The sequence below is a fragment of the Homo sapiens genome, chromosome 16 (genome assembly GCF_000001405.40).
Source record: "Homo sapiens chromosome 16, GRCh38.p14 Primary Assembly".
NCBI classification, from domain to species: domain Eukaryota; kingdom Metazoa; phylum Chordata; class Mammalia; order Primates; family Hominidae; genus Homo; species Homo sapiens.
This window is the reverse complement of record NC_000016.10, coordinates 8817821-8844724: the sequence shown is the minus strand read 5'-3', so window position 1 is coordinate 8844724 and position 26904 is coordinate 8817821. Positions and strand designations below refer to the sequence as shown.

The 26904-nt window shown below is 45.9% G+C and overlaps 1 protein-coding gene across 2 annotated transcripts in view, besides 4 other annotated features; it reads right to left on the bottom strand.

Moving 5' to 3' along the window:
* The window catches only part of PMM2 (phosphomannomutase 2), a 51487-nt gene that overhangs the window by 4601 nt on the left and 19982 nt on the right, over positions 1 to 26904 (bottom strand). The window lies entirely within an intron of this gene.
* Positions 7741 to 8273: an enhancer, noted in NCBI's record as "H3K27ac-H3K4me1 hESC enhancer chr16:8930309-8930841 (GRCh37/hg19 assembly coordinates)". NCBI's record gives its function as "activates a minimal SCP1, AML or CMV promoter by ChIP-STARR-seq in primed H9 embryonic stem cells {active_cell/tissue: H9 hESC(primed)}" and the evidence as "EXISTENCE:reporter gene assay evidence [ECO:0000049][PMID:30033119]".
* Positions 8274 to 8808: an enhancer, noted in NCBI's record as "H3K27ac-H3K4me1 hESC enhancer chr16:8929774-8930308 (GRCh37/hg19 assembly coordinates)". NCBI's record gives its function as "activates a minimal SCP1, AML or CMV promoter by ChIP-STARR-seq in primed H9 embryonic stem cells {active_cell/tissue: H9 hESC(primed)}" and the evidence as "EXISTENCE:reporter gene assay evidence [ECO:0000049][PMID:30033119]".
* Positions 14646 to 15247: an enhancer, noted in NCBI's record as "H3K27ac hESC enhancer chr16:8923335-8923936 (GRCh37/hg19 assembly coordinates)". NCBI's record gives its function as "activates a minimal SCP1, AML or CMV promoter by ChIP-STARR-seq in naive H9 embryonic stem cells {active_cell/tissue: H9 hESC(naive)}" and the evidence as "EXISTENCE:reporter gene assay evidence [ECO:0000049][PMID:30033119]".
* Positions 25480 to 25529: a silencer, noted in NCBI's record as "silent region_7180". NCBI's record gives its function as "represses an Ori minimal core promoter by ATAC-STARR-seq in GM12878 lymphoblastoid cells {active_cell/tissue: GM12878}" and the evidence as "EXISTENCE:reporter gene assay evidence [ECO:0000049][PMID:35858748]".

The window sequence follows — 26904 nt, the reverse complement described above, 5'->3', positions numbered from 1 at the left end:
AAAAAACCGGCGCCGGTCACGGACTGGGAAGGCAGCCTTCCCTTGGTGTTTAATCATTGCAAGGACGCCTCTGATCATTCACCCACGTTTCAGAGGTGTCAGACCACGCAGGGACACCTGCCTTGGTCCATAACCCTTAGCGGCAAGTCCCGCTTTTCTGAGGAAGGGGCAAGGACCCCAACCCCTTCTTTCCGTGTCTCTACCCCTTCTCTGATTTTCTGGGGCAGGGGCAAGAACCCCCCAACCCCTTCTCCTTCACCCTTAGCGGCAAGTCCCGCTTTTCTGGGGGAGAGGCAAGTACCCCAAACTCGTATCTCTGTGCCCCAATCCCTTATTTCCATGCCCCAACCCCTTTCCCGCTTTTCTGGAGGGTAAGAACCCCCAAACCCCTTCCCTCCATGTCTCTACGCTCTCTTTTCTCTGGGCTTGCCTCCTTCACTATGGGCAACCTTCCTACATTCCTCCTTCTTCTCCCTTAGCCTGTGTTCTCAAGAACTTAAAACCTCTTCAACTCATACCTGACCTAAAACCTAAATAAATGCCTTATTTTCTTCTGCAATGCCGCTTGACCCCAATACAAACTCGACAGTAGTTCCAAATAGCCAGAAAACGGCACTTTCAATTTTTCCATCCTGCAAGATCTAAATAATTCTTGTCGTAAAATGGGCAAACAGTCTGAGGTGCCTGATGTCCAGGCATTCTTTTACACATCAGTCCCTTCCTAGTCTCTGTGCCCAGTGCAACTCGTCCCAAATCTTCCTTCTTTCCCTCCCGCCTGTCCCCTCAGTCCCAACCCCAAGCGTTGCTGAGTCTTTCTAATCTTCCTTTTCTACAGACCCATCTGACCTCTCCCCTCCTCGCCAGGCCGAGCTAGGTTCCAATTCTTCCTCAGCCCCTAGACCCTAAAAGGTCAAAAGGCCGTCTTATTCTCAATATACATTTTATTACCCAATCTGCTCCCGACATTAAATAAAACTCCAAAAATTAGAATCTGGCCCTCAAACTCCACAACAGGACTTAATTAACCTCACCTTCAAGGTGTACAATAATAGAAAAAAGTTGCAATTCCTTGCCTCCACTGTGAGACAAACCCCAGCCACATCTCCAGCACACAAGAACTTCCAAATGCCTGAACCGCAGCGGCCAGGCGTTCCTCCAGAACCTCCTCCCCCAGGAGCTTGCTACACGTGCCAGAAATCTGACTACCAGGGCCAAGGAATGCCTGCAGCCCAGGATTCCTCCTAAGCCGTGTCCCATCTGTGCGGGACCCCACTGGAAATCGGACTGTTCAACTCACCTGGCAGCCACTCCCAGAGCCCCTAGAACTCTGGCCCAAGGCTCTCTGACTGACTCCTTGGCTTAGCGGCTGAAGATTGACGCTGCCCAATCGCCTTGGAAGCCCCCAGACCATCACGGACGCCAAGCTTTGGGTAACTCTCACAGTGGAGGGTAAGTCCACCCACTGTTTAATCGAAACGGGGACTACCCACTCCATGTTGCCTTCTTTTCAAGGGCCTGTTTCCCTTGCCTCCATAACTGTTGTGGGTATGGACGGCCAGGCTTCTAAACCTCTTAAAACTCCCCAACTCTGGTGCCAACTTAGACATTACTCTTTGAAGCACTCATTTTTAGTTATCCCCACCTGCCCAGTTCCCTTATTAGGCCGAGATATTTTAAGCAAATTATCTGCTTCCCTGACTATTCCTGGACTACAGCCGCATCTCATTGCCGCCCTTCTCCCCAACCCAAAGCCTCCTTTGCGTCTTCCTCTCATATCCCCCCACCTTAACCCACAAATATGGGACATTTCTACTCCTTCCCTGACAACTGATCACATGCCCATTACCATCCCATTAAAACCTAATCACCCTTACCCCGCTCAACGCCAATATCCCATCCCACAGCACGCTTTAAAAGGATTAAAGCCTGTTATCACTGGCCTGCTACAGCATAGGCTTCTAAAACCTATAAACTCTTCTTATAATCCCCCCATTTTACCTGTCCAGAAACCGGACAAGTCTTACAGATTAGTTCAGGATCTGCGCCTTATCAACCAAATTGTTTTGCCTATCCACCCTGTGGTGCCCAACCCATACACTCTTTCATCCTCAATACCTTCCTCCACAACTCACTATTCCACACTTGATCTTAAAGATGCTTCTTTCAGCGTTCCCCTGCACCCCTTGTCCCAGCCTCTCTTTGCTTTCACCTGGACTGACCCTGACACCCATCAGTCCCAGCAGCTTACCTGGGCTGTGCTGCCACAAGGTTTCAGGGACAGCCCTCATTACTTCAGCCAAGCTCTTTCTCATGATCTACTTTCTTTCCACCCCTCCGCTTCTCACCTTATTTAATATATTGATGACCTTCTTCTTTGTAGCCCCTCCTTTGAATCTTCTCAACAAGACACACTTCTGCTCCTTCAGCATTTACTCTCCAAAGGATATCAGGTATCCCCCTCCAAAGCTCAAATTTCATCCTCATCTGTTACCTATCTCGGCATAATTCTCATAAAAACACACGTGCTCTGCCTGTTGATCTTGTCTGATTAATCTCCCAAACCTCAATCCCTTCCAAAACAACAACTCCCTTCCTTCCTAGGCATGGTTAGTGCGGTCAGAATTCTTACACAACAGCCAGGACCACACCCTGTAGCCTTTCTGTCCAAACAACTTGACCTTACTGTTTTAGCCTAGCCCTCATGTCTGCGTGCAGCGGCTGCCGCTGCTTTAATACTTTTAGAGGCCGTAAAAATCACAAACTATGCTCAACTCACTCTCTACATTTCTCATAACTTCCAAAATCCATTTTCTTCCTCATACCTGATGCATATACTTTCTGCTCCCCGGCTCCTTCAGCTGTACTCACTCTTTGTTAAGTCCCACAATTACCATTGTTCCTGGCCCGGACCTCAATCTGGCCTCCCACATTATTCCTGATACCACACCTGACCCCCATGACTGTGTTTCTCTGATCCACCTGACATTCACCCCATTTCCCCATATTTCCTTCTTTCCTGTTCCTCACCCTGATCACGCTTGATTTATTGATGGCGGTTCCACCAGGCCTAATCGCCACATAGCAGCAAAGGCAGGCTATGCTATAGTACAAGCCACTAGCCCGCCTCTTAGAACCTCTCATTTCCTTTCCATCGTGGAAATCTATCCTCAAGGAAATAACTTCTCAGTGTTCCATCTGCTATTCTACTACTCCTCAGGGATTATTCAGGCCCCTTCCCTTCCCTACACATCAAGCTTGAAGATTTGCCCCCACCCAGGACTGGCAAATTAGCTTCACTCAACATGCCCCGAGTCAGATAACTAAAATACCTCTTAGTCTAAGTAGACACTTTCACTAGATAAGTAGAGGCCTTTCCTACAGGGTCTGAGAAGGCCACCGCAGTCATTTCTTCCCTTCTGTCAGACATAATTCCTCAGTTTAGCCTTCCCACCTCTATACAGTCTGATAACGGACCAGCCTTTACTAGTCAAATCACCCAAGCAGTTTCTCAGGCTCTTAGTATTCAGTGGAACCTTCATATCCCTTACAGTCCTCAATCTTCAGGAAAGGTAGAACGGACTAATGGTCTTTTAAAGGTACACATCACCAAGCTCAGCCTCCAACTTAAAAAGGATTGGACAGTACTTTTACTTCTTGCTCTTCTCAGAATTAGAGCCTGTTCTCGAGATGCTACAGGGTAGGTACAGTCCATTTGAACTTTTATATGGACGCACTTTCTTGCTTGGCCCCAACCTCATCCCAGACACCAGCCCTCTAGGCGACTGTCTTCCAGTCCTCCAGCAGGCTAGACAGGAAATTCGCCAGGCTGCTAAGCTTCTCTTGCCTACTCCAGATCCCCAGCCATATGAAGACACCCTAGCTGGACGATCAGTTCTTGTTAATCTGACTCCTCAAACTCTACAACCTCGATGGACCGGACCCTACTTAGTCATCTATAGTACCCCGACTGCTGTCCGCCTGCAGGATCCTCCCCACTAGGCTCACCGTTCCAGAATAAAGCTGTGTCCATCGGACAGCCAGCCTAATCCCTCCTCTTCCTCCTGGAAGTTGCAAGTACTCTCCCCTACTTCCCTTAAACTCAGTCGTATTTCGAAGAACAGTCATAACCCTTATGAGCCTAATACATCCCTTCATTCTATTAGGTTTTTCGTCCTTACCCTACTTTTTGCAACAGGGCTTTACGAAGTCACCCCCACCACTTAGGCCGAGCCCCAAAAAACTAGTCATCCCTACTATCTTCTGTCTGGTCATACTCCTATTCTCCATTCTCAACTACTTATAAATGCCCTACTCTTGTTTACACGGCCGGTTTACACTGTTTCTTCAAGCCATCACAGCTGATATCTCTTGGTGCTATCCCCAAACTGCCACTCTTAACTCCCTCTTAGAGTGGATAGATGATCTTTGCTGGCAAGGCACCCTCCAATATTTCCACCCTGATGAAGTTCTATTCTTTACTTTTATACTCACTCTTATTCTCATTCCCATTCTTATGCCACCCTCTACCTCTCCCCAGCTATCTCCACCACACTATCAACCTTACCCATTCTCTCCTAGCCGCTTCTAATCCCTCCTTAGTGAACAACTGCTGGCTTTGCATTTCCCTTTCTTCCAGTGCCTACACAGCTGTCCCCACCTTACAGACAGACTGGGCAACATCTCCCATCTCCCTACACCTCCGAACTTCCTGTAACAGCCCTCACCTTTACCCTCCTGAAGAACTCATTTACTTTCTAGACAGGTCCAGCAAGACTTCCCCAGACATTTCACATCAGCAAGCTGCCGCCCTCCTTCACACTTATTTAAAAAACCTTTCTCCTTTCTCCTTTCTCCCCCCATATTCGGACCTCTCACAACACAAACTACTATGCCTGTGGCCGCTCCTATATGTATCTCTCGGCAAAGACCCACTGGAATTCCCCTAGGTAATCTTTCACCTTCTCGATGTTCCTTTACTCTTCATCTCCAAAGTCCAACTACACACATCACTCAAACAATGGGAGCCTTCCAGCTCCATATTACAGACAAGCCCGCTATCAATACTGACAAACTTAAAAACATTAGCAGTAATTATTGCTTAGGAAGACACTTGCCCTGTATTTCACTCCATCCTTGGCTACTTTCCCCTTGCTCATCAGACTCTTCCTCCCAGGCCCTCCTCTTGTTTACTTTTACCCAGCCCCGAAAATAATAGTGAAAGGTTGCTTGTAGATACTCAACGTTTTCTCATACACCATGAAAATCGAACCTCCCCCTCTATGCAGTTACCCCATCAGTCCCCATTACAACCTCTGACAGCTGCCGCCCTAGCTGGATCCCTAGGACTCTAGGTACAAGACACCCCTTGCAGCACTCCTCATCTTTTTACTTTACATCTCCAGTTTTGCCTCGCACAAGGTCTCTTCTTCCTCTGTGGATCCTTTACCTAACATGTGTCTACCTGCTAATTGGACAGGCACATGCACACTAGTCTTCCTTACTCCCAAAATTCAATTTGCAAATAGGAACGAAGAGCTCCCTGTTCCCCTCATGACACCGACACAACAAAGAAGAGTCATTCCACTAATTCCCTTGATGGTCGGTTTAGGACTTTCTGCCTCCACTATTGCTCTCGGTACTGGAATAGCAGGCATTTCAACCTCTGTCATGACCTTCCGTAGCCTGTCTAATGACTTCTCTGCTAGCATCACAGACATGTCACAAACTTTATCAGTCCTCCAGGCCCAAGTTGACTCTTTAGCTGCAGTTGTCCTCCAAAACCACCGAGGCCTTGCTTACTCACTGTTGAAAAAAGAGGACTCTGCATATTCTTAAATGAAGAGTGTTGTTTTTACCTAAATCAATCTGGCCTGATGTATGACAACATAAAAAAACTCAAGCATAGAGCCCAAAAACTTGCCAACCAAGCAAGTAATTACGCTGAACCCCCTTACGCACTCTCTAATTGGATGTCCTAGGTCCTCCCAATTCTTAGTCCTTTAATACCCATTTTTCTCCTTCTTTTATTTGGACCTTGGATCTTCTGTTTAGTTTCTCAATTCATCCAAAACTGTATCCAGACCATCACCAATCATTCTATACAACAAATGTTTCTTCTAACATCCCCACAATATCACCCCTTACCACAAGACCTCCCTTCAGCTTAATCTCTCCCACTCTAGGTTCCCACGCCGCCCCTAATCCCGCTTGAAGCAGCCCTGAGAAACATCGCCCATTCTGTCTCCATACCACCCCCCAAAAATTTTCACCGCCCCAATACTTCAACACTATTTTATTTTTCTTATTAACATAAGAAGGCAGGAATGTCAGGCCTCTGAGCCCAAGCCAAGCCATCGCATCCCCTATGACTTGCACGTATACATCCAGATGGCCTGAAGTAAATGAAGATCCACAAAAGAAGTAAAAATAGCCTTAGCTGATGACATTCCACCATTGTGATTTGTTTCTGCCCCACCCGAACTGATCAATGTACTTTGTAATCTCCCCCACCCTTAAGAAGGTTCTTTGTAATTCTCCCCACTCTTGAGAATGTACTTTGTGAGATCCACTCCTGCCCACAAAACATTGCTCTTAACTTCACCGCCTATCCCAAAACCCATAAGAACTAATGATAATCCACCACCCTTTGCTGACTCTCTTTTCGGACTCAGCCCGCCTGCACCCAGGTGAAATAAACAGCCATGTTGCTCACACAAAGCCTGTTTGGTGGTCTCTTCACACGGACGCGCATGAAACACTTCAATCTCTCCCTTAATTTCAATTCCTTTCATTTTCTGGTAGAGACAAAGGAGACACATTTTATCTGTGGACTCAAAACTCCGGCGCCGGTCAGAGACTGGGAAGGCAGCCTTCCCTTGGTGTTTAATCACTGCAGGGACGCCTGATTATTTACCCACGTTTCAAAGGTGTCAGACCATGCAGGGACGCCTGCCTTGGTCCTTCACCCTTAGCGGCAAGTCCCACTTTTCTGGCGGAGAGGCAAGTACACCAACCCCTTCTCTCCGTGTCTCTACCCCTTCTCTGCTTTTCTAGGGGAGGGGTAAGTACCCCAACCCCATGTATCTCTGCGCCCCGATCCCTTATTTCTGCGCCCCAATCTCTTATATCTCTGTGCCCCAATCCCTTATTTCCGTGCCCCAACCCCTTCTCTGCTTTTCTGGAGGGCAAGAACCCCCCACCCCTTCTCCGTGTCTCTACTCTTTTCTCTGGGCTTACCTCCTTCACTATGGGCAAGCTTCCACCTTCCATTCCTTTCTTCTCCCTTAGCCTGTGTTCTTAAGAACTTAAAACCTCTTCAACTCACACCTGACCTAAAACCTAAATAAATGCCTTATTTTCTTCTGCAATTCCACTTGACCCCAATACAAACTCGACAGTAGTTCCAAATAGCCAGAAAACGGCACTTTCAGTTTTTCCATCCTACAAGATCTAAATAATTCTTGTCGTAAAATGGGCAAACGGTCTGAGGTGCCTGATGTCCAGGCATTCTTTTACACATCAGTCCCTTCCTAGTCTCTGTGCCCAGTGCAACTCGTCCCAAATCTTCCTTCTTTCCCTCCCACCTGTCCCCTCAGTCGCAACCCCAAGCGTCGCTGAGTCTTTCTAATATTCCTTTTCTACAGACCCATCTGACCTCTCCTCCTCGCCAGGCTGAGCTAGGTTCCAATTCTTCCTCAGCCTCCGCTCCTCCACCCTATAATCCTTTTATCACCTCCCCTCCTCACACCTGGACCAGCTTACAGTTCATTCTGTGACTGGCCCTCCCCCACCTGCCCAGCAATTTACTCTTGAAAAGGTGGCTGGAGCTAAAGGCATAGTCAAAGTTAATGCTCCTTTTTCTTTATCCCAAATCAGATAGCGTTTAGGTTCTTTTTCATCAAATATAAAAATCCAGCCCAGTTCATGGCTCGTTTGGCAGCAACCCTGACACGCTTTACAGCCCTAGACCCTAAAAGGTCAAAAGGCCGTCTTATTCTCAATATACATTTTATTACCCAATCTGCTCCCGACATTAAATAAAACTCCAAAAATTAGAATCTGGCCCTCAAACCCCATAACAGGACTTAACTAACCTCACCTTCAAGGTGGACAGTAATAGAAAAAAGTGGCAATTCCTTGCCTCCACTGTGAGACAAACCCCAGCCACATCTCCAGCACACAAGAACTTCCAAACGCCTGAACCGCAGCAGCCAGGCGTTCCTCCAGAACCTCCTCCCCCAGGAGCTTGCTACACGTGCTGGAAATCTGGCCACTGGGCCAAGGAATGCCCACAGCCCGGGATTCCTCCTAAGCCGCGTCCCATCTGTGCGGGACCCCATGAAAATCAGACTGTTCAACTCACCTGGCAGCCACTCCCCAGAGCCCCTGGAACTCTGGCCCAAGGCTCTCTGACTCCTTCCCAGATCTCGGCTTAGCAGCTGAAGACTGACACTGCCCAATCCCCTCGGAAGCCCCATAAACCATCACGGACGCCGAGCATCGGGTAACTCTCACAGTGGAGGGTAAGTCCATCCCCTTCTTAATCAATACGGAGGCTACCCACTCCACATTACCTTCTTTTCAAGGGCCTGTTTCCCTTGCCTCCGTAACTGTTGTGGGTATTGACGGCCAGGCTTCTAAACCTCTTAAAACTCCCCAACTCTGGTGCCAATTTAGACATTACTCTTTTAAGCACTCCTTTTCAGTTATCCCCACCTGCCCAGTTCCCTTATTAGGCCGAGACACTTTAAATTATCTGCTTCCCTGAGTATTCCTGAACTACAGCTACATCTCATTGCCGCCCTTCTTCCCAATCCAAAGCCTCCTTTGTGTCCTCCTCTTGTATCCCCCAACCTTAACCCACAAGTATAAGATACCTCTACTCCCTCCTTGGCAACCAATCATGCACCCCTTACCATCTCATTAAAACCTAATCACCCTTACCCCACTCAATGTCCCATCCCATGGCACGCTTTAAAAGGATTAAAGCCTGTTATCACTCGCCTGCTACAGCATGGCCTTTTAAAACCTATAAACTCTCCTTACAATTCCCCCATTTTACCTGTCCTAAAACCAGACAAGGCTTACAGGTTACTTCAGAATCTGCGCGTTATCAACCAAATTGTTTTGCCTATCCACCCCGTGGTGCCAAACCCATATACTCTCCTGTCCTCAATACCTCCATCTACTACCCATTATTCTGTTCTGGATCTCAAACATGCTTTCTTTACTATTCCTTTGCACCCTTCATCCCAGCGTCTCTTTGCTTTCAGTTAGATGACCCTGACACCCATCAGGCTCAGCAAATTACCTGGGCTGTACGGCCACAAGGCTTCACAGACAGCCCCCACTACTTCAGTCAAGCCCAAATTTCATCCCCATCTGTTACCTATCTCGGCATAATTCTCATAAAAACACACGTGCTCTCCCTGTTGATCGTGTCTGATTAATCTCCCAAACCTCAATCCCTTACAAAACAACAACTCCCTTCCTTCCTAGGCATGGTTAGTGCGGTCAGAATTCTTACACAACAGCCAGGACCACACCCTGTAGCCTTTCTGTCCAAACAACTTGACCTTACTGTTTTAGCCTAGCCCTCATGTCTGCGTGCAGCGGCTGCCGCTGCTTTAATACTTTTAGAGGCCGTAAAAATCACAAACTATGCTCAACTCACTCTCTACATTTCTCGTAACTTCCAAAATCTACTTTCTTCCTCATACCTGATGCATATACTTTCTGCTCCCCGGCTCCTTCAGCTGTACTCACTCTTTGTTAAGTCCCACAATTACCATTGTTCCTGGCCCGGACCTCAATCTGGCCTCCCACATTATTCCTGATACCACACCTGACCCCCATGACTGTATCTCTCTGATCCACCTGATATTCACCCCATTTCCCCATATTTCCTTCTTTCCTGTTCCTCACCCTGATCACGCTTGATTTATTGATGGCGGTTCCACCAGGCCTAATCGCCACATAGCAGCAAAGGCAGGCTATGCTATAGTACAAGCCACTAGCCCGCCTCTTAGAACGTCTCATTTCCTTTCCATCGTGGAAATCTATCCTCAAGGAAATAACTTCTCAGTGTTCCATCTGCTATTCTACTACTCCTCAGGGATTATTCAGGCCCCCTCCCTTCCCTACACATCAAGCTTGAAGATTTGCCCCCACCCAGGACTGGCAAATTAGCTTCACTCAACATGCCCCGAGTCAGGTAACTAAAATACCTCTTACTCTAAGTAGACACTTTCACTAGATAAGTAGAGGCCTTTCCTACAGGGTCTGAGAAGGCCACCGCAGTCATTTCTTCCCTTCTGTCAGACATAATTCCTCAGTTTAGCCTTCCCACCTCTATACAGTCTGATAACGGACCAGCCTTTACTAGTCAAATCACCCAAGCAGTTTCTCAGGCTCTTAGTATTCAGTGGAACCTTCATATCCCTTACAGTCCTCAATCTTCAGGAAAGGTAGAATGGACTAAAGGTCTTTTAAAAACACACCTCACCAAGCTCAGCCTCCAACTTAAAAAGGACTGGACAATACTTTTACCACTTTCCCTTCTCAGAATTCAGGCCTGTCCTCAGAATGCTACAAGGTACAGCCCATGTAAGCTCCTGTATAGACGCTCCTTTTTATTAGGCCCCAGTCTCATTCCAGACACCAGACCAACTTAGACTGTGCCCCCCAAAACTTGTCATCCCTACTATCTCCTGTCTAGTCATATTCCTATTCGCCATTCTCAACTACTCATACATGCCCTGCTCTTGTTTACACTGCCGGTTTACACTGTTTCTCCAAGCCATCACAGCTGATATCTCCTGGTGCTATCCCCAAACTGCCACTCTAAACTCTTGAGGTAAATAAATAATCTTTGCTGGCAGGACTATGCTGAATCTCCTTAGGCACTCTCTAATCAGATGTCATAGGTCCTCCCAATTCTTAGACCTTTTATACCTGTTTTTCTCCTTCTCTTATTCCATTTAGTTTCTGAATTCATCCAAAACCGTATCCAGGCCATCACCAATCATTCTATACGACAGATGTTTCTTCTAACATCCCCACAATATCACCCCTTACCACAAGACCTCCCTTCAGCTTAATCTCTCCCACTCTAGGTTCCCACGCCGCCCCTAATCCCGCTTGAAGCAGCCCTGAGAAACATCGTCCATTCTCTCTCCATACCACCCCCTAAAAATTTTCACCGCCCCAACACTTCAACACTATTTTATTTTTCTTATTAATATAAGAAGGCAGGAATGTCAGGCCTCTGAGCCCAAGCCAAGCCATCGCATCCCCTGTGACTTGCACGTATACATCCAGATGGCCTGAAGTAACTGAAGATCCGCAAAAGTAAAAATAGCCTTAACTGATGACATCCCACCATTGTGATTTGCTTCTGCCCCACCCAAACTGATCAATGTACTTTGTAATCTCCCCCACCCTTAAGAAGGTTCTTTGTAATTCTCCCCACTCTTGAGAATGTACTTTGTGAGATCCACTCCTGCCCGCAAAACATTGCTCTTAACTTCACCGCCTATCCCAAAACCCATAAGAACTAATGATAATCCACCACCCTTTGCTGACTCTCTTTTGGGACTCAGCCCGCCTGCACCCAGGTGAAAAAAACAGCCATGTTGCTCACACAAAGCCCGTTTGGTGGTCTCTTCACACGGACGCGCACGAAACCCTCTACCCGCCAGGCATTGCTTTAGCAGCTGGGGATACGGCGCAAACCAAAACCACATCACAGCTGCCCTGGGGAGACCAGTCATCAACAGACAGCTCTTGGGCGCCTTGTTGAGCAAAGGGAGGGAAGGGCTGCCAGGCCTGGAGGGTGAGGGAACCCTGGCATCTGAGGGACGTGAGGGCACAGGCCATGTGGCCATCAGAGAAGACGCTGAAGAGGGAGGATGGGCAGGGGCTGGGGCCGGGCCACAGCGGGCCTCACAGATTGTGGTAAGCACCTGGGATTTCACGGGTAGCCGCCTGAAGCCTGCAAGCCCGGGCCATGATCAGATTACTTTACAACAGGATCTTTCTGGAGAACGGGTGCGGGGTGAGGACGCAATTGAAGGGAGCAGTTAGGAGGCTCCTGCAGCCGGCCAGGGTGCAAAGAGGACAGAGGCCATTACCTGGGAAGAGACCCCTGAAGCAAAAAGGGTTTATGCTAGTCCCCTGACAGTTGCTAGGCCTGCCCTTCCCTGCAGATGTCACATGCAGGGACAGAGGCCTAACGGCACGAGTCTCCTCCCGTGGTCCTGCTGGGGGCTGGTGGGGAGGTGTCTGTGGAATCTGAGTGATCTGTGTGCATGTAACTCGCTGACACTTAATAAAGCTAGGTCTGGAGAATCAATTCCCATCCAGGAAGGTGAAATCCTCCCGACCCTGGCTGCAGGAGCCTCTCTGGGTTGCTTCTCAGCTCCACCCGCTTTCAGAGAGCCGCACGGCTCGCAGGAGCATCTGCATCACAAACACAACCTGCCTCAGGCCTTCCTTTCTCTCCCGCCAAGGGTCTGCTTCTTTCTTTGTGACTCTCAGAGCATGGTGGGCTCCTTCCTGGGGTGCAGCCTTCTTGGGGCTGTGTCGAGCTTGCATACCAGAGTAGCTGCAAAGCAAGTGAAGCGGACCCCAAATGAAATGAAAGGAAAGCTGGCTGCCCTCTAGAATAATAAGGCTAGAGAACCGGAAATTTCAAATGCTGGATTTGCATATGCACTAAAGGTTACTTGATTCTAGTTGGGGAACTCAGCCACCTCCCAAGCTCCAAGAACAAAAACCCTGTTCCCTGGAGAAGGGAGGGAAGGGGGGAGGGAAGAATGAACGATCCAATTTCTCATTATAGTGTACCTGACAGGCACCAAAGAGAGGCCAGGGCTCAGTGAAATCCGCGCATTAATATTTAAATCCCTAATAGTCCCAAAGTCTGAGGATGAAACAGAAGGCATAGTGTTGGCCATGTTCAGATGCCAGGGGGCTGATGAGTCTCCCCACCGCAGCCCATTTCTGTACATGCTGTTGCTGACCTGTGCAGTGTAGCAGTGAACCCCAATCATCCAAAGAGAGGAACAGTGTGATCTATCACAGCCTGCGTGAACTGCTTCGCTGGTAGCAGTGGGTGTGTGCTGTGTGGATGCCTCCTATAGCACAGATGGACTCTCTGTAGCTCGTGGTCGGGACTCTTATTTATTTTTGAGACAGGGTCCCACTCTTGCCCAGGCTGGAGTGCACTGGTGCGACCATGTCTTGCTGCAGCCTCCACCTCCTGGGCTCAAGCGATCCTCCCACCTCAGCCTCCTGAGTAGCTGGGACTACAGGTGTGCACCACCATGCCTTATAGTCGATTCTTGCTATGGATGTTTATTTTGGTTGTTTAACAAGTATTTATCAAATTTCTAGGTATTATGGATGCAGGGACTGAAACCACATTTGCAAAAATTATAACTGAGAAAATGTTAACAGTGAAAGAGATCTGGCCTGACTCCATCTTGCTTCTAACCTCCAAGCTGTCCTTGTTCATTCCAGGGCACAGGCTGAACTAACCTTGGGAGGAATTCAGTTTATAGTTCAACTTTGTTTTTTTTGTTTTTGGAGACGGAGTCTCACTCTGTCACCAAGGTGGAGTGCAGTGGCACACTCTCGGCTCACTGGAATCTCTGCCTCCCAGGTTCAAGTGATTCTCCTGCCTCAGCCTCCCGAGTAGCTGGGATTACAGGTGTGCACCACCACACCTGGCTAATTTTTGTACTTTTAGTAGAGGCGGGGTTTCACCCTGTTGACCAGGCTGGTGTCAAACTCCCGGCCTCAAGTGATCGGCCTGCCTCAGCCTCTCAAAGTGCTGGGATTACAGGCGTGAGCCACCCTGCCCGGCCTATAGTTCAACTTTGAAACAAAGGATAACAGCTCTTTCCTGAAATAAACCCCCTTCTTGCCTGGGGACCAGTCTGCCTTTGTAGGACTAACAAATTAGTTACAAGATTAGAAATTATGGTTTTGGAGCCACGGAGCCTCTGGCTGCAAGAGTCTGAACCTCCCCACATTGCTCCTGAGAATAACATCGCTTGTAAATCCTAAGATCAGTGCTTGAGGTATTTTGCAGACCCTGCCTTCCAATGCAGCAGTTGACGCCACCCAGACAGGTAATATGATTCAACCGGCACTTTGATCCCACCCAAGGACAGAAGACAGCAAGAAAAACTCACTTCTACCCCCTATGATTTCATCTCCATGCTGACCAATCAGCAATCCACACCTCCAGAGCCCCTACCCACCAAGTTATCCTTAAAAACTCAAATCCCCAAATTCTTGGAGACTGATTTGAGTAATAATAAAACTCCAGTCTCCTGCACAGCTGGCTCTGTGTGAATTAGTCTATTGCAATTCTCCTGTCTTGATAAATTGGCTGTCTAGGCTGTGGGCAAGGAGAACCTGTGGAGGGGGTTACAAATTTGGGGGCTCATCTGTGATCTCCCTTGTGGCTATCTTCCAGCGATTCAGTAGCCTCCCCAACCCCCCTCACTGGTGATGGATCCAGAGGCCAGCCCAGGCGGCCACCTAGTTCTCTTCGACTGGGGGCTGACACTGGCACCATCTCTACTAATGGGGTGCTGCCAACCCATGGTGTATGGATTTAACTGCAATAAACAGTCCTGGGGAGACGTCCTGTAACTGTAGCCCCATCACAGGGTATCTGTCTGTAGCCCCATCATTGGGTGTCTGCCTGTAGCCCCATCATGGGGCATCTCTAGCTCTATTAGGTGGTATCTGTTTGTAGCCCCAGCATGGGGTATCTGCCCTAATTGTACAGAGAATAGGGGACTTGTTTGGAGGAATACTCTTGGTTTGTGATTTAGTCTGGAAACTCTTTCTGGAAGGTGTTTTGCTGTATGTGTTTGTATATGTGGAGGAGATGTCTAAGGGAATTGCTGAAGGAAGTCCATCAGGCTCTCCTAGTTTGTCTGGTTGGTCACATTCACTGAACCCTGAAGGACTTGTCAGCAGAAGCTCGGAAGTTTGACAGGGCTGCCTCGAGGGTGACCATCCGCTCTTCCATCTGGCTCAGAGACCATCCTTTGAATTCCCGGTGGAAGGCGTCCCTTCCCACCTTGAGTGGAGTGGATCAAAGATGACAGAGACCAACGGGAGCAAGTGTGAGCCTTGCCAAGTTGATGCTGGGCACTGAGCATAGTGACTAGTTTTGTCATGTGTACTCTGCTCTGGCCAGGATGGAAAATGTTAATTCAGTTCCCCATGCAGCCCATTGGGCAGCATCTTGAAAAATTGAGAGGCTTTTGCCTGTGGTTCCATAAAACAGAAACGGATGGTTTTCCTTTGCAATGCGACTTGGCGCCCACAGCTAGCGTGCAGCGATCAGGGTCATCAAGAGCTGCTCCGTTCTTCTGGAAGCTACAGAGAATGGGAACCCAGAAACCTGACATGCAGGCAAAAAGGGTAAACATTTCTTACCAGCCAGGCTTCTGGCCCCTCTCGCCGTGTATGAATGGAAAACATCACTGTTTGTCTCCTCTGCAAGGGTCTGATTAATAGAAAAAATCTTATGAGCCTAGACTTAGGCTGTAGGGAATCTGGTGCACTCTGTGCTGTGAATACAAATCCCCAGCTACTCTGGAGGCTGAGGCAGGAAAATCACTGGAACCCGGTGGGTGGAGGCTGCAGTGAGCTAAGATCGCACCACTGCACTCCAGCCTGGGCAATAGAGTGAGACTCCATCTCAAAAGAAAAAAGAAAAACAAAGACAAAGGCACAACCAGCTCTCACATGCCTCAGATGAATCACACATCCTCTCTCCTCACTCAGTGACTTAGGAGGGGGAGTCAGTATTCACACATTAATACGACACACCTTTCTAGAACACCTACTACCTGCCAAGCATTGCTTTAGTAGCTGGAGATACAGCGCAAACCAAACCCACTCACAGCTGCATCCTCTGTCATGGAGAGCAGGACCACAGAATAGGATGTGGACATAGGACCCCTCTAAGCCCGCTGTTCAATCCAGCCTGGCAGACTGGTCAGTTCCAAACTTTGCTCCAACAAAAACCAGATAAGGTTTCCCTCTTCTCTTGTTTTACGTCCTGAAAAACTTGACTTTGGGACCATGTCAGGGTACCCTCTTTTGGTCTCCGGCATCCAGAGGGCATGAATTTTTGGGTTCATGTCGGTAGCTGGTCTGAGAGGACATGTGACAGTGTCATGTCTAGCCTTAAGAATTATCTTGAGTAAAGTCCTGGATTCCCAGGAAGACCAGTGTAACAGCCTTCAGCTTTAGCTCAGTAGCTGAAGCTTTGCTATTTCACAGTGGTAGCCTGGGTCTGGTTCCCAGCTTACGGAATGGGTGCTCTCTGGTTTGTTATTTATGTAAGTTTTTTTTGTGTGCCATTTATTGATTCTTTCCCCACCATGGACAGCTTGCCTTGAAATCTGCCTTAAATTTTCTTTTCTCTAAACTACGTTTGGGGAGATTCTAAATCTTGTAAAAGAAAAAAACAAAAAACTGCTTACCATCCCTTTGAGACATCTTATACTTCTGTAGTTAAGTCATAATCTTAGATAAGACTTATTAATTTTGCTAGGAGGTTACCTGTGGTAAAGTTCAAAAGCCAGAAATACTGGCTGTCTATCCTGGCTAGAGTCTGGTAATAAGAAATTTAAAAAGATTTTGTAAAAAAAAAAAAAAAAAAAAAGAGTTCTACAGTTAAAATCTGCTTAATTAAAAATGGATATCCAAGTTTTATATATATATATAAATTTATAAATATATATATTTATAAATATATATTATATATAAAACATAATATATATAATATATATCATATATATCATATATTATATAACATATATATAATATATAACATATATATTATATATTATACAATATATATAATATATATTATATAAATATATAAATATGTATAAATATATATAAATATATATATATAAATGTGTGCATATATATATATATATATATATATATATATATATATATATATGCACACATTTAAAAGGCCTTTGTGGGCTGGGTGCAGTGGCTCATGCCTGTAATCCCAGCACTTTGAGAGGCTGAGGCAGGGGGATCACTTGAGGTCAGGAGTTCAAGACCAGCCTGGCCAACATAGTGAAACCCTGTCTCTACTAAAAATACAAAAATTAGCCAGGCCTGGTGGCGTGTGCCTGTGGTCCCAGCTACTCGGGAGGCTGAGGCACGAGAATCACTTGAACCCGGGAGGCAGAGGCTGCAGTGAGCTTAGATCATGCCATTGCACTCTATCTAGCCTGGGTGACAGAGCAAGACTCCATTTCAAAAAAAAATAAAAATAAAAATAAAAAAATAAAAAAAAGGCCTTTGTGCTTTTTCTCTTCCTGGATTTTTTTTTTTTCTTCGAGGAATGAGTTTTTGTTTGTCTTTCTTCTCAGTCAACTGAATTATTTCCCCAGTCTGTCTTCCTGCCACTCTGAATGCCCACATGAGAGGACCTAAGGTACTTTCTGACAGCTGGGGACTCCTTGGGAAAAAGAGAGAAGGCTCCACAGACCCTGTTTTGGGAGAAACTCTGTTTTCCTCATAAAACCCCAAGAAGTGTAAGCAGACAGACCCCTCTCAAAATCTAAGGCTCTGTTCTGTTTTGAATCACATTACTTGGCCTTTTTCACTTTTGAGGGCATCAGGAATTACTTTAGTAGGGGAGAGAGATATGTGAAAAAAGTTGAGGCTATAAAGATGTATTTTTGGTAAGGATGATTATAAAAAAAGAAATTTATATGAGAAAAGATCTTGTATGGTAAATTCTTGTCCTAAAATAGAACGACTGATTATTCACGAAAGAGGGACACATAGGACAAGTCAGACAGTCCAAGCATGGCATAGATGGTCTCTGTGAGTCGTGACAAGATTTGTAAAATGGGGAAAAAAAACCCCTAAAAAATCAGCAAATGAAAAATCTTAACTAATGCATCTTCTTCGGTCTATATATTTATAATGTTGTGTGTGTGATGTTTAAGAGCTGTAATTAATTGGCTTAAAAAATAAGCACTTAAATATTTTTTCAAAGAAATAGCAACTCTAATGCATTTTAGTTCACATGACGTTAGTAATCTTTGGTAAATAAAGATAGTTTTAAAGATTATTGATGAAATAAAACTGTCTTCATTTGGTCTGAATTAGGCAGATCAGATACTGTTTCTGCTGGATGCTTTAAGGTCATAAGTGGCTTCTGTGACTTTTGTAATTGTTCAATTTACCTACTTTAGAGCCATTAGATTCCAGATAAGGCCTGGGGACATATGGAGGTAGCCATGACTCCTAGCTAGGCCAGAGAGAGTCAGACTTTATCTGCAGTTCTGTCCTGTATTCTAGGCTCTGCACTTGGTATGTAATTAAAACTGCTTAAAGACATGGGAATATGGGTTTTTTTAAAAGAGAAAATCTTCTCTAATTTAGAGAGTTTAAAGATTATTTTTGGTTGAAAGACAAAATAAAACTGAAAGTTTAAGCAAATTGTAGGTTTGTGAAAAATTAACTTTGTGAACAACTCTGTGTGTGAGCAAGCTGGCTAAAATCGAAAGGGTATTATTTAATTTTTTCCATAAATTAAATATTAAAAGCATACTGATGCAGGGCCAGAATCTGGGCCCATATATCAAAATAATAGGGTTTTATGCCAGATGCGGTGGCACATGCCTGTAATCCTAGCACTTTGGAAGGCCGACGCAGGCAGATCACGAGGTCAGAAGTTCGAAACCAGCCTGGCCCATATGGTGAAATCCTGTCTCTACTAAAAATACAAAAATTAGCCGGGCGTGGTGGCACACGCCTGTAGTCCCAGCTACTCGGGAGGTTGAGGCAGAAGAATTGCTTGAACCTGAGAGGCAGAGGTTGCAGTGAGCTGAGAATGTGCCACTGCACTCCAGCCTGGGCAATGGAGCAAGACTCCATCTCAAAAAAAAAAAAAAAAATAGTGTTTTATTTTTGAACACTGATTTGTTAACAAACAATTATAAAGGGTTATATAAAAGGTTTACGAAAATGTTACCCTACAGTCAAACTAAAATCGGATACATTTGTTTGTAAAATTTTATTAAAAACTAGCTTTGGCTAGGAGTGGTGGCTCACAACTGTAATCCCAGCGCTTTGGGAGGCTGAGGTGGGCGATCACGTGGGGTCAGGAGTTCAAGACCAGCCTGGCCAACATGGCGAAACCCAGTCTCTACTAAAAAATACAAAAATTAGCCAGGAGTGGTGGTGGGTGCCTGTAATCCCAGCTACTTGGGAGGCAGGAGAATCGCTTGAACCCAGGAGGCGGAGGGTGCAGTGAGCCGAGATCATGCCACTGCACTCCAGCCTGGGTGACAAGAGTGAAACTCCGTCTCAAAACTACAACAGGCCGGGCACAGTGGCTCATGCCTGTAATCCTAGCACTTTGGGAGGCCGAGGTGGGTGGATCACGAGGTCAGGAGATCAAGACCATCCTGGCTAACATGGTGAAACCCCGTCTCTACTAAAAAATACAAAAAATTAGCCAGGCGTGGTGGCACACGCCTGTAGTCCCAGCTACTCGGGAGGCTGAAGCAGGAGAATGGCATGAACCCAGGAGATAGAGCTTGCAGTGAGCTGAGATCGTGCCACTGTACTCCAGCCTGGGCAACAGAGCGAGACTCCACCTCAAACAACAACAAAAACAAAACTAGCTTTAGCATTAAAGATGCACTAATGCGAGATAAAATTTGGTTTTCTCTTTTGAAGAATATTTTTATGTAATATTGACAGAGAGAGACAATGAAAGATTTTTATTTGGCTTTGGAGTAAACTATTAAAAAAAATAAAAGAAAGATTCAGTTGGCCTCATGCTATCTTCACTGGGTTTTGTTGTTTAGAAAGCTGAGTCTTCTCTCTATCAGAGTAAAGGTTTTTCCTGTTACAAAATGTTTGAGTTATCATTGTGGCTAAATGAATTACTTATGGTGACCTGGGATTCTACTTTGTGATATCTAGTGTTTCAAACCTTTGATATTTAACAAACTTCCCAAGATCAAATTCTAAGTTAAAAAAAAAAAGTCCCCTAAAGTCCAAAAGAGGCATATTTGGCTTATTTGGTGTATTAAAATTATGTAGGAAGCACTGTCAAATATAAAAAAGTGTTTAACTTTCTTTGGGTTTATAGTCGTATAACTATGTTATTAGTATGTGTTACAAAATTGTGTAAGACTCCTATAATTCTGATACGTCTCAGTATATGTTATGAGTAATAATTATAACTGTTCTGTTAAACTGTGTGTCACAGAGATGACCAGATTTCCTTGTTGACTGCATCTTTAACTACGGCTGTCCTGAGACTTTTGTTACCCACAGGCAGTTGCTGTCTTGGTTTTATCCTTTTCAAAAGGCAGTTTATAATCAGATATAGTACTCTAATGGGTACTCTTGAATGCAGGTCTCTGATAACTTTACAAATTGTGCCATTGGAATGGAGGAAAAAAAACTTCTAGGATCCTCATGGAGAGCTGATGTGTTAAACATTGTTAATCCTTTTGTTTTTCAGAGTCCAGAAAACTATTTTTCTTTTGAGCTATTTACAACTTTAACAATTGAGTTAAAGTATACTTCTGTGAGCAAAATTTAGAGCATATTGCCTTCTCTCTGATTTCTCCAGAATTTGGAAACTATTTGTGAGTATTCTCAACTTATGGCAGTATAATTATTTGTGCAAGGGCAGTAACAATCTGTTTTCTTTTGTAATAGGATACAATTAGAGATGCCGGTTACTTTACCAAGGCTTTGACTGGTACGACATACTTTCAAATATAAACAGACTGCTTTAAGGAACAAAGTTGACTAACAGAGCCAATAGAAGTCCCTTGGAAAAGCTGGCCTCATACCTTGTCTACACAGTCCCTGTACGGGGTTCCTGAACTGTGGTAAATAAAGACCGTCACTTTTTGACAGGCCCAGGAGCCCCAAATTATCTTAGGACCATGAGAAGAAAAAATTTCACCCAACTCATACAGGTTTATCTTTGCAGGTATAGTAGATAAATCCATGGCTGGGCTCGAGGCTTTAAAAAAGTCTAACCTGAGATTTCTTATGGAACAAAGTTTCAGCAAAGCCAATTTTAAAAACAGCCTATCTGGCAAACAATTATTCTTGCTTTACTTTATACAAATAATCAGGCCAAGCTTAATAAGACTATGACTTATTTTGCAAGTAAACTTGTCCTACTACGGTTTGTCTTTAATAAAAATAAGGATGGGAGAGGGAAAAAAGTGTTTCAAAAAACTATGATACACCCTGCTGTTAGATTCTAGTCTTGTCCTTTGTTCTTGAGTTTTTATTATTTCCTGCAATTTGGACTAAATCCTGAATTCTCTGTGGGCTACAATTCCCAAACTAATGCTTTCAATTTTTTTTTCCCACTTTTCTGACTTGGACTCAATTAAATTGCTACTACCTTTTTCCTGAGGCCCTGCAAGCTGAAGCTTATTCTTTGTAATACAGATGACAAAAACATGTCAAATTGCCACTGCCTTCCTCCTCTATAACTAAAGATGCCTAGCCCATCTCCAGTGCCATCTCTTGATAATGGAAACAGCTGTTTAACTGAACTGATCTAGTCTTAGGACTAGGAAAACTGACTAAAAAGATAAGGATGAGTATATTTAAATTTCCTCTTTCCTGTCTACCCCAATCTGTCTGTCTAACAACCTCTGACCCAAATCTCTCTCTGCTAGTAACCCCATGTCTGATTGGTTCTTGGAGCTATTTACCTGGGTCCCTCAGAGCTTAGGATCAATTCTACAAAAGCTTCTGAAGCCAGGACTTTCACTCTTTATCCTAGGACTCATTTGTTAAAACTATAGATGAGAATACTAATGCCTTTGTCATGCAGGCCTTCAAACCCTAACCAGGAACCCCTGAGTAGAAGCAGACAGCTGCAAAGTGGTTTCACTCCTCCTACCTTTGGGTCAACACCTACCCTGACTACGCTCCCTGTCAGCAGAAAGAAGCTAGAGCGGTTATCACTCTTTTCCCATCTTCATATCCCACAGTATGAAGTATTAGGAATAAGGTATTATAAAACCCAACAGGAGGAACTGAAACTGTCTTTGCAAAAATTTTAACTGAGAAAATTATGATGGTGACCTAAATGACTCCATCTTGCTTCTAACTTCCAAGATGTCCTTGTTCATTCCTGGATGCAGACCAAACTAACCTTGGGAGGAATTCAGTTTATAGTTTAACTTTGAAACAATGCCGGTAACAGCCCTTTCCCTGAAATAAACCCCCTTCTTGCCTGGGGACCAGTCTGCCTTTGTAGGACTAACAAATTAGCTACAAGAGTCTGAACCTCCCCAAATTGCTCCTGAAAATAATATCACTGTCATAAAACCTAAGATTGTGCCTGAGATATTTTGTAGACCCTGTGTTCTGATGCAGTATCTGATGCCACACAGACAGGTAATCTGGCTCAACCAGCTCTTTGATCCCACCAGGAACAGAAGATAGCAAGAAAAACTCACTTCCACCCCCTATGATTTCATCTCCAAGCCGACCAATCAGCAATCTCCACTTCCCAAGCCCCTACCCAGCAAGTTATCCTTAAAAACTCTGATCCCCAAATTCTTGGAGAGGCTGATTTGAGGAATAATAAAACTCCAGTCTCCTGTACAGCCAGCTCTGCGTGAATTACCCTTTGTCTACTGCAACTCTCCTGTCTTGATAAATCGGCTCTTGTCTAGGCAGTGGGCAAGGAGAACCTGTTGGGCAGTTACAGGGCCAATGAGACAAGAGCCTGCTCTGAAATGGCGTAGAGCAGTAGTGGCTCTCCCTGGCTAGAGTCCCTGGGGATGCCTTAAAAATGCTTGTTTGGGGCATGGCCCAAGCCCAGGGTCATGATGTTTTGAAAGTGATCAGGTGATTCCAATATATATCCAGGGCTGAGCACCAGTGACTTAGAATCTAGGAAAAAACACCCCTTGGCTTGGGGGCGAGGGTGGAACCTGAGCTGGCCAAGGGGCTAGTGGCCCTAGGGCGAGTGACCCTTGGGTCTGTTGACGGCTCTGAGCACAGCCCTCTCATTTCACCTCTCCGGCCTTCAAGGGCAGAGGAGACAGCTCTGTGACGGATCTGGGCCTGGAATGCCCACAGGAGATGCCGATTCTGCGGACATCAAGGGGCTCCCTGGAAGGCCAGCCCCACTCCAGGGGTTTGAAGCCAGTGTCTCCCTGAATGAAAGAGCTTCAGCACAGACACAGGCAGGGATGCTCACTCTGTGGGCTGGTTGTTAGCCACAGTCCTATTCCTGGGACCAACACCCAGGGCCATGGACTCTGTGGAGTCTGGCACTCAGGAGGAAGGTGGGCTAGCAGGAACATCTGAAGCTCGTGGCTCCCATGCATGACACCCTGCTTCCTGGCCTCCCACACAGGAGCGGGTGGGACATCTCCACCAGGCTGAGAACCTCTCATCAATTTCTGCCAGTCAGTTCTGGAAGCTGACTGTGGGAGCGGCAATTCACTCAGGGTCCCTCCAGGAGTGAGGGACTCACATGTTAAGAAGCTAAGTCTGCCACCAGCCACACAAGAAGACCTGGGTCTCAAATCATGTGGTCCCAGCAATAAGTAGTAAGACAGATCTATCCACAGAATCCATTCTGTGCCCTCCTTAGCCTTGAGTCCTGAAAGAGCTACAGATGCTAGGCATGGTTAAGTCCAGGATCGCAAAGGCCAACTGCCATCCAAAGCCTAACTTGGAACCTGAGGACAGGAGGACATGGTTCACTAATTCACGCTCTAATGAACTGTTGGAAGGTGTGTAGGAAGGTGCTCACTCACAAGGATGGCCCTTCACTGAGGGACTTGGCAGGCTCCAATCTCTTAGGAAAATCTCAATAACAGATGAGCCTTTGAATAACTTTCTTAGAAAGTGAAGGAAGCAGACGCTGGTTGTGGACCAGGCCAAAGATGCATGTCCCAGCTGCCTTTCCTGAGTCAGGCCCTGCGTCACCCACTTTCCTCAGATGCCTTCACTTCATTCTCATATGACTCCTTCAGAAGAGCAACTGTGGTCGGGAGTGGTGGCTCACGCCTGTAATTCCAGCACTTTGGGAGGCCAAGGTGGGCGGATCACTTGAGGTTAGGAGTTCAAGACCAGCCTGGCCAAGATGGTGAAACCCCGTCTCTACTAAAAATACAAAAATTAGCCAGGCGTGGTGGTGGGCACCGGTAATCCCAGCTACTCAGGAGGCTGAAGTGGGAGGATCACTTGAGCCCAGGAGTTCAAGATTACAGTGAACCAAGATTGCGCCACTGCACTCCAGTCTGGGTGACAGAGTGAGACCTTGTCTCAGGAAAAAAAAAAAAAAAAAGAAGAACTGTGTCCTCACTGGGCTGACGAGGTCACTGTCACTGTCCTCACTGTCACAAGGTCACTGGTGAATGGTGGGGCCAGATCTGGGTCAACATGGTCCACACTGATACAAACCTCTTTTAAGCTAATTTTGTTTTTCTTTATTTGTTTATTGAGACAGAATTTCACTCTGTTGCCCAGCCTGGAGTGCAATGGCACAATCTCAGCTCACTGCAACCTCCGCCTCCCGGGTTCAAGCGCTTCTCCTGCCTCAGCCTCCTGAGTAGCTGGGATCCAGGCATGCGCCACCACGCCCAGCTAATTTTTGTATTTTTAAGCTAATTTTAAAGGCAGATCTTCCTTATTAACATTTCTGGAGAATAAAATGTTGCACAATTTACTTAAAAGGAAGGCAGGTAGCATGTTAGAAGCGATGTAGGAGAATGACAGAGGCGAGGCTTTCAGATCCCAGCTTAGTCTCTGACTAGCTGAGACCCTGGACTTCCCACTGTGCTTCCTCTGTAAGAGGGAGGATGCTGCTGTCTCCCCTGGGAGCATGTACAACATAAGTGTCCAGCTCAGGGTCTGACACTGAGGAAGTGCTGGAAGATTTACATTTCCTCCCTTTTTTCAATTTTTAAAAATTTTTAATTTTTATTGTTTTTTTTTTTTTTAAGAGACGAGGTCTCGCTCTGTTGCCTAGGCTGGAGTGCAGTGGCGCAATCGTGGCTCACTATAATCTTGAACTCCTAGGCTCAAGTAATCCTCCCACTTCAGCCTCCCTAGTAGCCAGGATTACAGGGATTACTCAGATCCTTTTCTCAAGTTGATTTAAAAATTTTATTTTTCAATAGATAGCACATTCATATAGTTCAAACATATTAAGAAAGAGTTAAGACCTAGGTGGCAATTCTCTCTCCTGTCCTCCCCACCCCCACAGTAACCTCTGTAAATTTCATCCATTCAGACTCCTTTTATGCATTTATAAGCTAACAAAAAGAGAAATTCCTTTGCCCTCTTTAGACAAAAATGTAGCCAGCACATTACTTATATTGTCCTGCACTTTGCTTTGATCACCTAACAAAAAGCCCTAGAGATGGGTCCACATGGACTCTTTTTACAGCTACATGGCATCCCAGTGCAGAGACAGACCACTGTCATGTGGCCAGCCTCCTGAGGAGCAGCGGGGCTGTCCCCAACCCTGAACCCTCTGCGTGAGTCTTTCACACATGCTTGAGTGCACTGATAGCCAAATTACCCAAAATGGAAGCGTCAAGTCAAAAACCAAACCAGCTGCTTGATATTCATGAAGTGTTAGAATGTTTTCATGTTGCAACTGCCTTAAAGCCAAGATGACTTTTACAGAAAGCATGGGTAAGTACAGGTTCTCTTGCCTGCGAATTCAGAGTGGCTGAGGGTGATCCAGCCAGGGTGGTTTCTGGAAAGCCATGCAGAGCCATGTGTGGTGTGTGCTCTCTGCCCTTGCCGTCTCTCTCTCTCTGCAACAAACCAAGGTACTCCATGCCAGGCCCAGGGCCTCCATGCTGAACTCAGAGCCAGATTTTAAGAAACACTGGCTTTTGTGGCTGATGGGAAGAATGACAGGGTTTCTGAAGATGGCAAATATTTTGAAAAGCAACGGCCAACGCCACACTTCCTCACTCTGCTCTCGAGTTGCTCCAAGCAGATGGCACCCTTTATGTAACACCAGACTCTGCCTCCTGGAGGCTGTGCTGCTGGAAGAGGCTGCTAAGCCTCAGGGCCTGGCTGAGAAATGGCTTTTTTACTGACAGCCTCAGCTCAGGATCACTTCCCTGGACGCCGGCAAAAACATCAAACTTCATTAGGAAAGGAAAAAACCCCAGCTTTCTAAATGTCTATCACTGAAAATGCAAAGTGTAAGGCTAGTATTTGGATTGCTCTGCACCTGAAGTTTCAAGAACTGATAGGTTGTTTGAAGGTTTACATGGCTGGACTGCTAATTTCCATTTCTAGAAAACCGCTGACGAAAAGGATCAGGGATGGGGGCAAAGAATCGTGCAAGAATGTTCACCACAGCATTAGTTATGATAGCAAAACCCCTTAAACCACCCAACGTGCCTCTGCAAGGGAGGTGAGTAACTGATGCCTAATGAGAGAATATTATACAGCCATTAAAAATCTTCTTTGCGCCAGGCGCAGTGGCTCACGCCTGTAATCCCAGCACTTTGGGAGGCCGAGGCGGACGGATCACGAGGTCAGGAGATCATGACCATCCTGGCTAACATGGTGAACCCCATCTCTACTAAAAATACAAAAAATTAGCCGGGCGTGGTGGTGGGCACCTATAGTCCAAGCTACTCGGGAGGATGAGGCAGGAGAATGGTGTGAACCCGGGAGGTGGAGCTTACAGTGAGCCGAGATCACGCCACTGCACTCCAGCCTGGGTGACAGAGCAAGACTCTGTCTCAAAAAAAAAAAAAAATCTTCTTTGCAAAGAATATTCACTAATATGATAAAAATAAAATACGTTAAGAGAAAGAAAACTAAAACTAAAACAACATGTAAGGA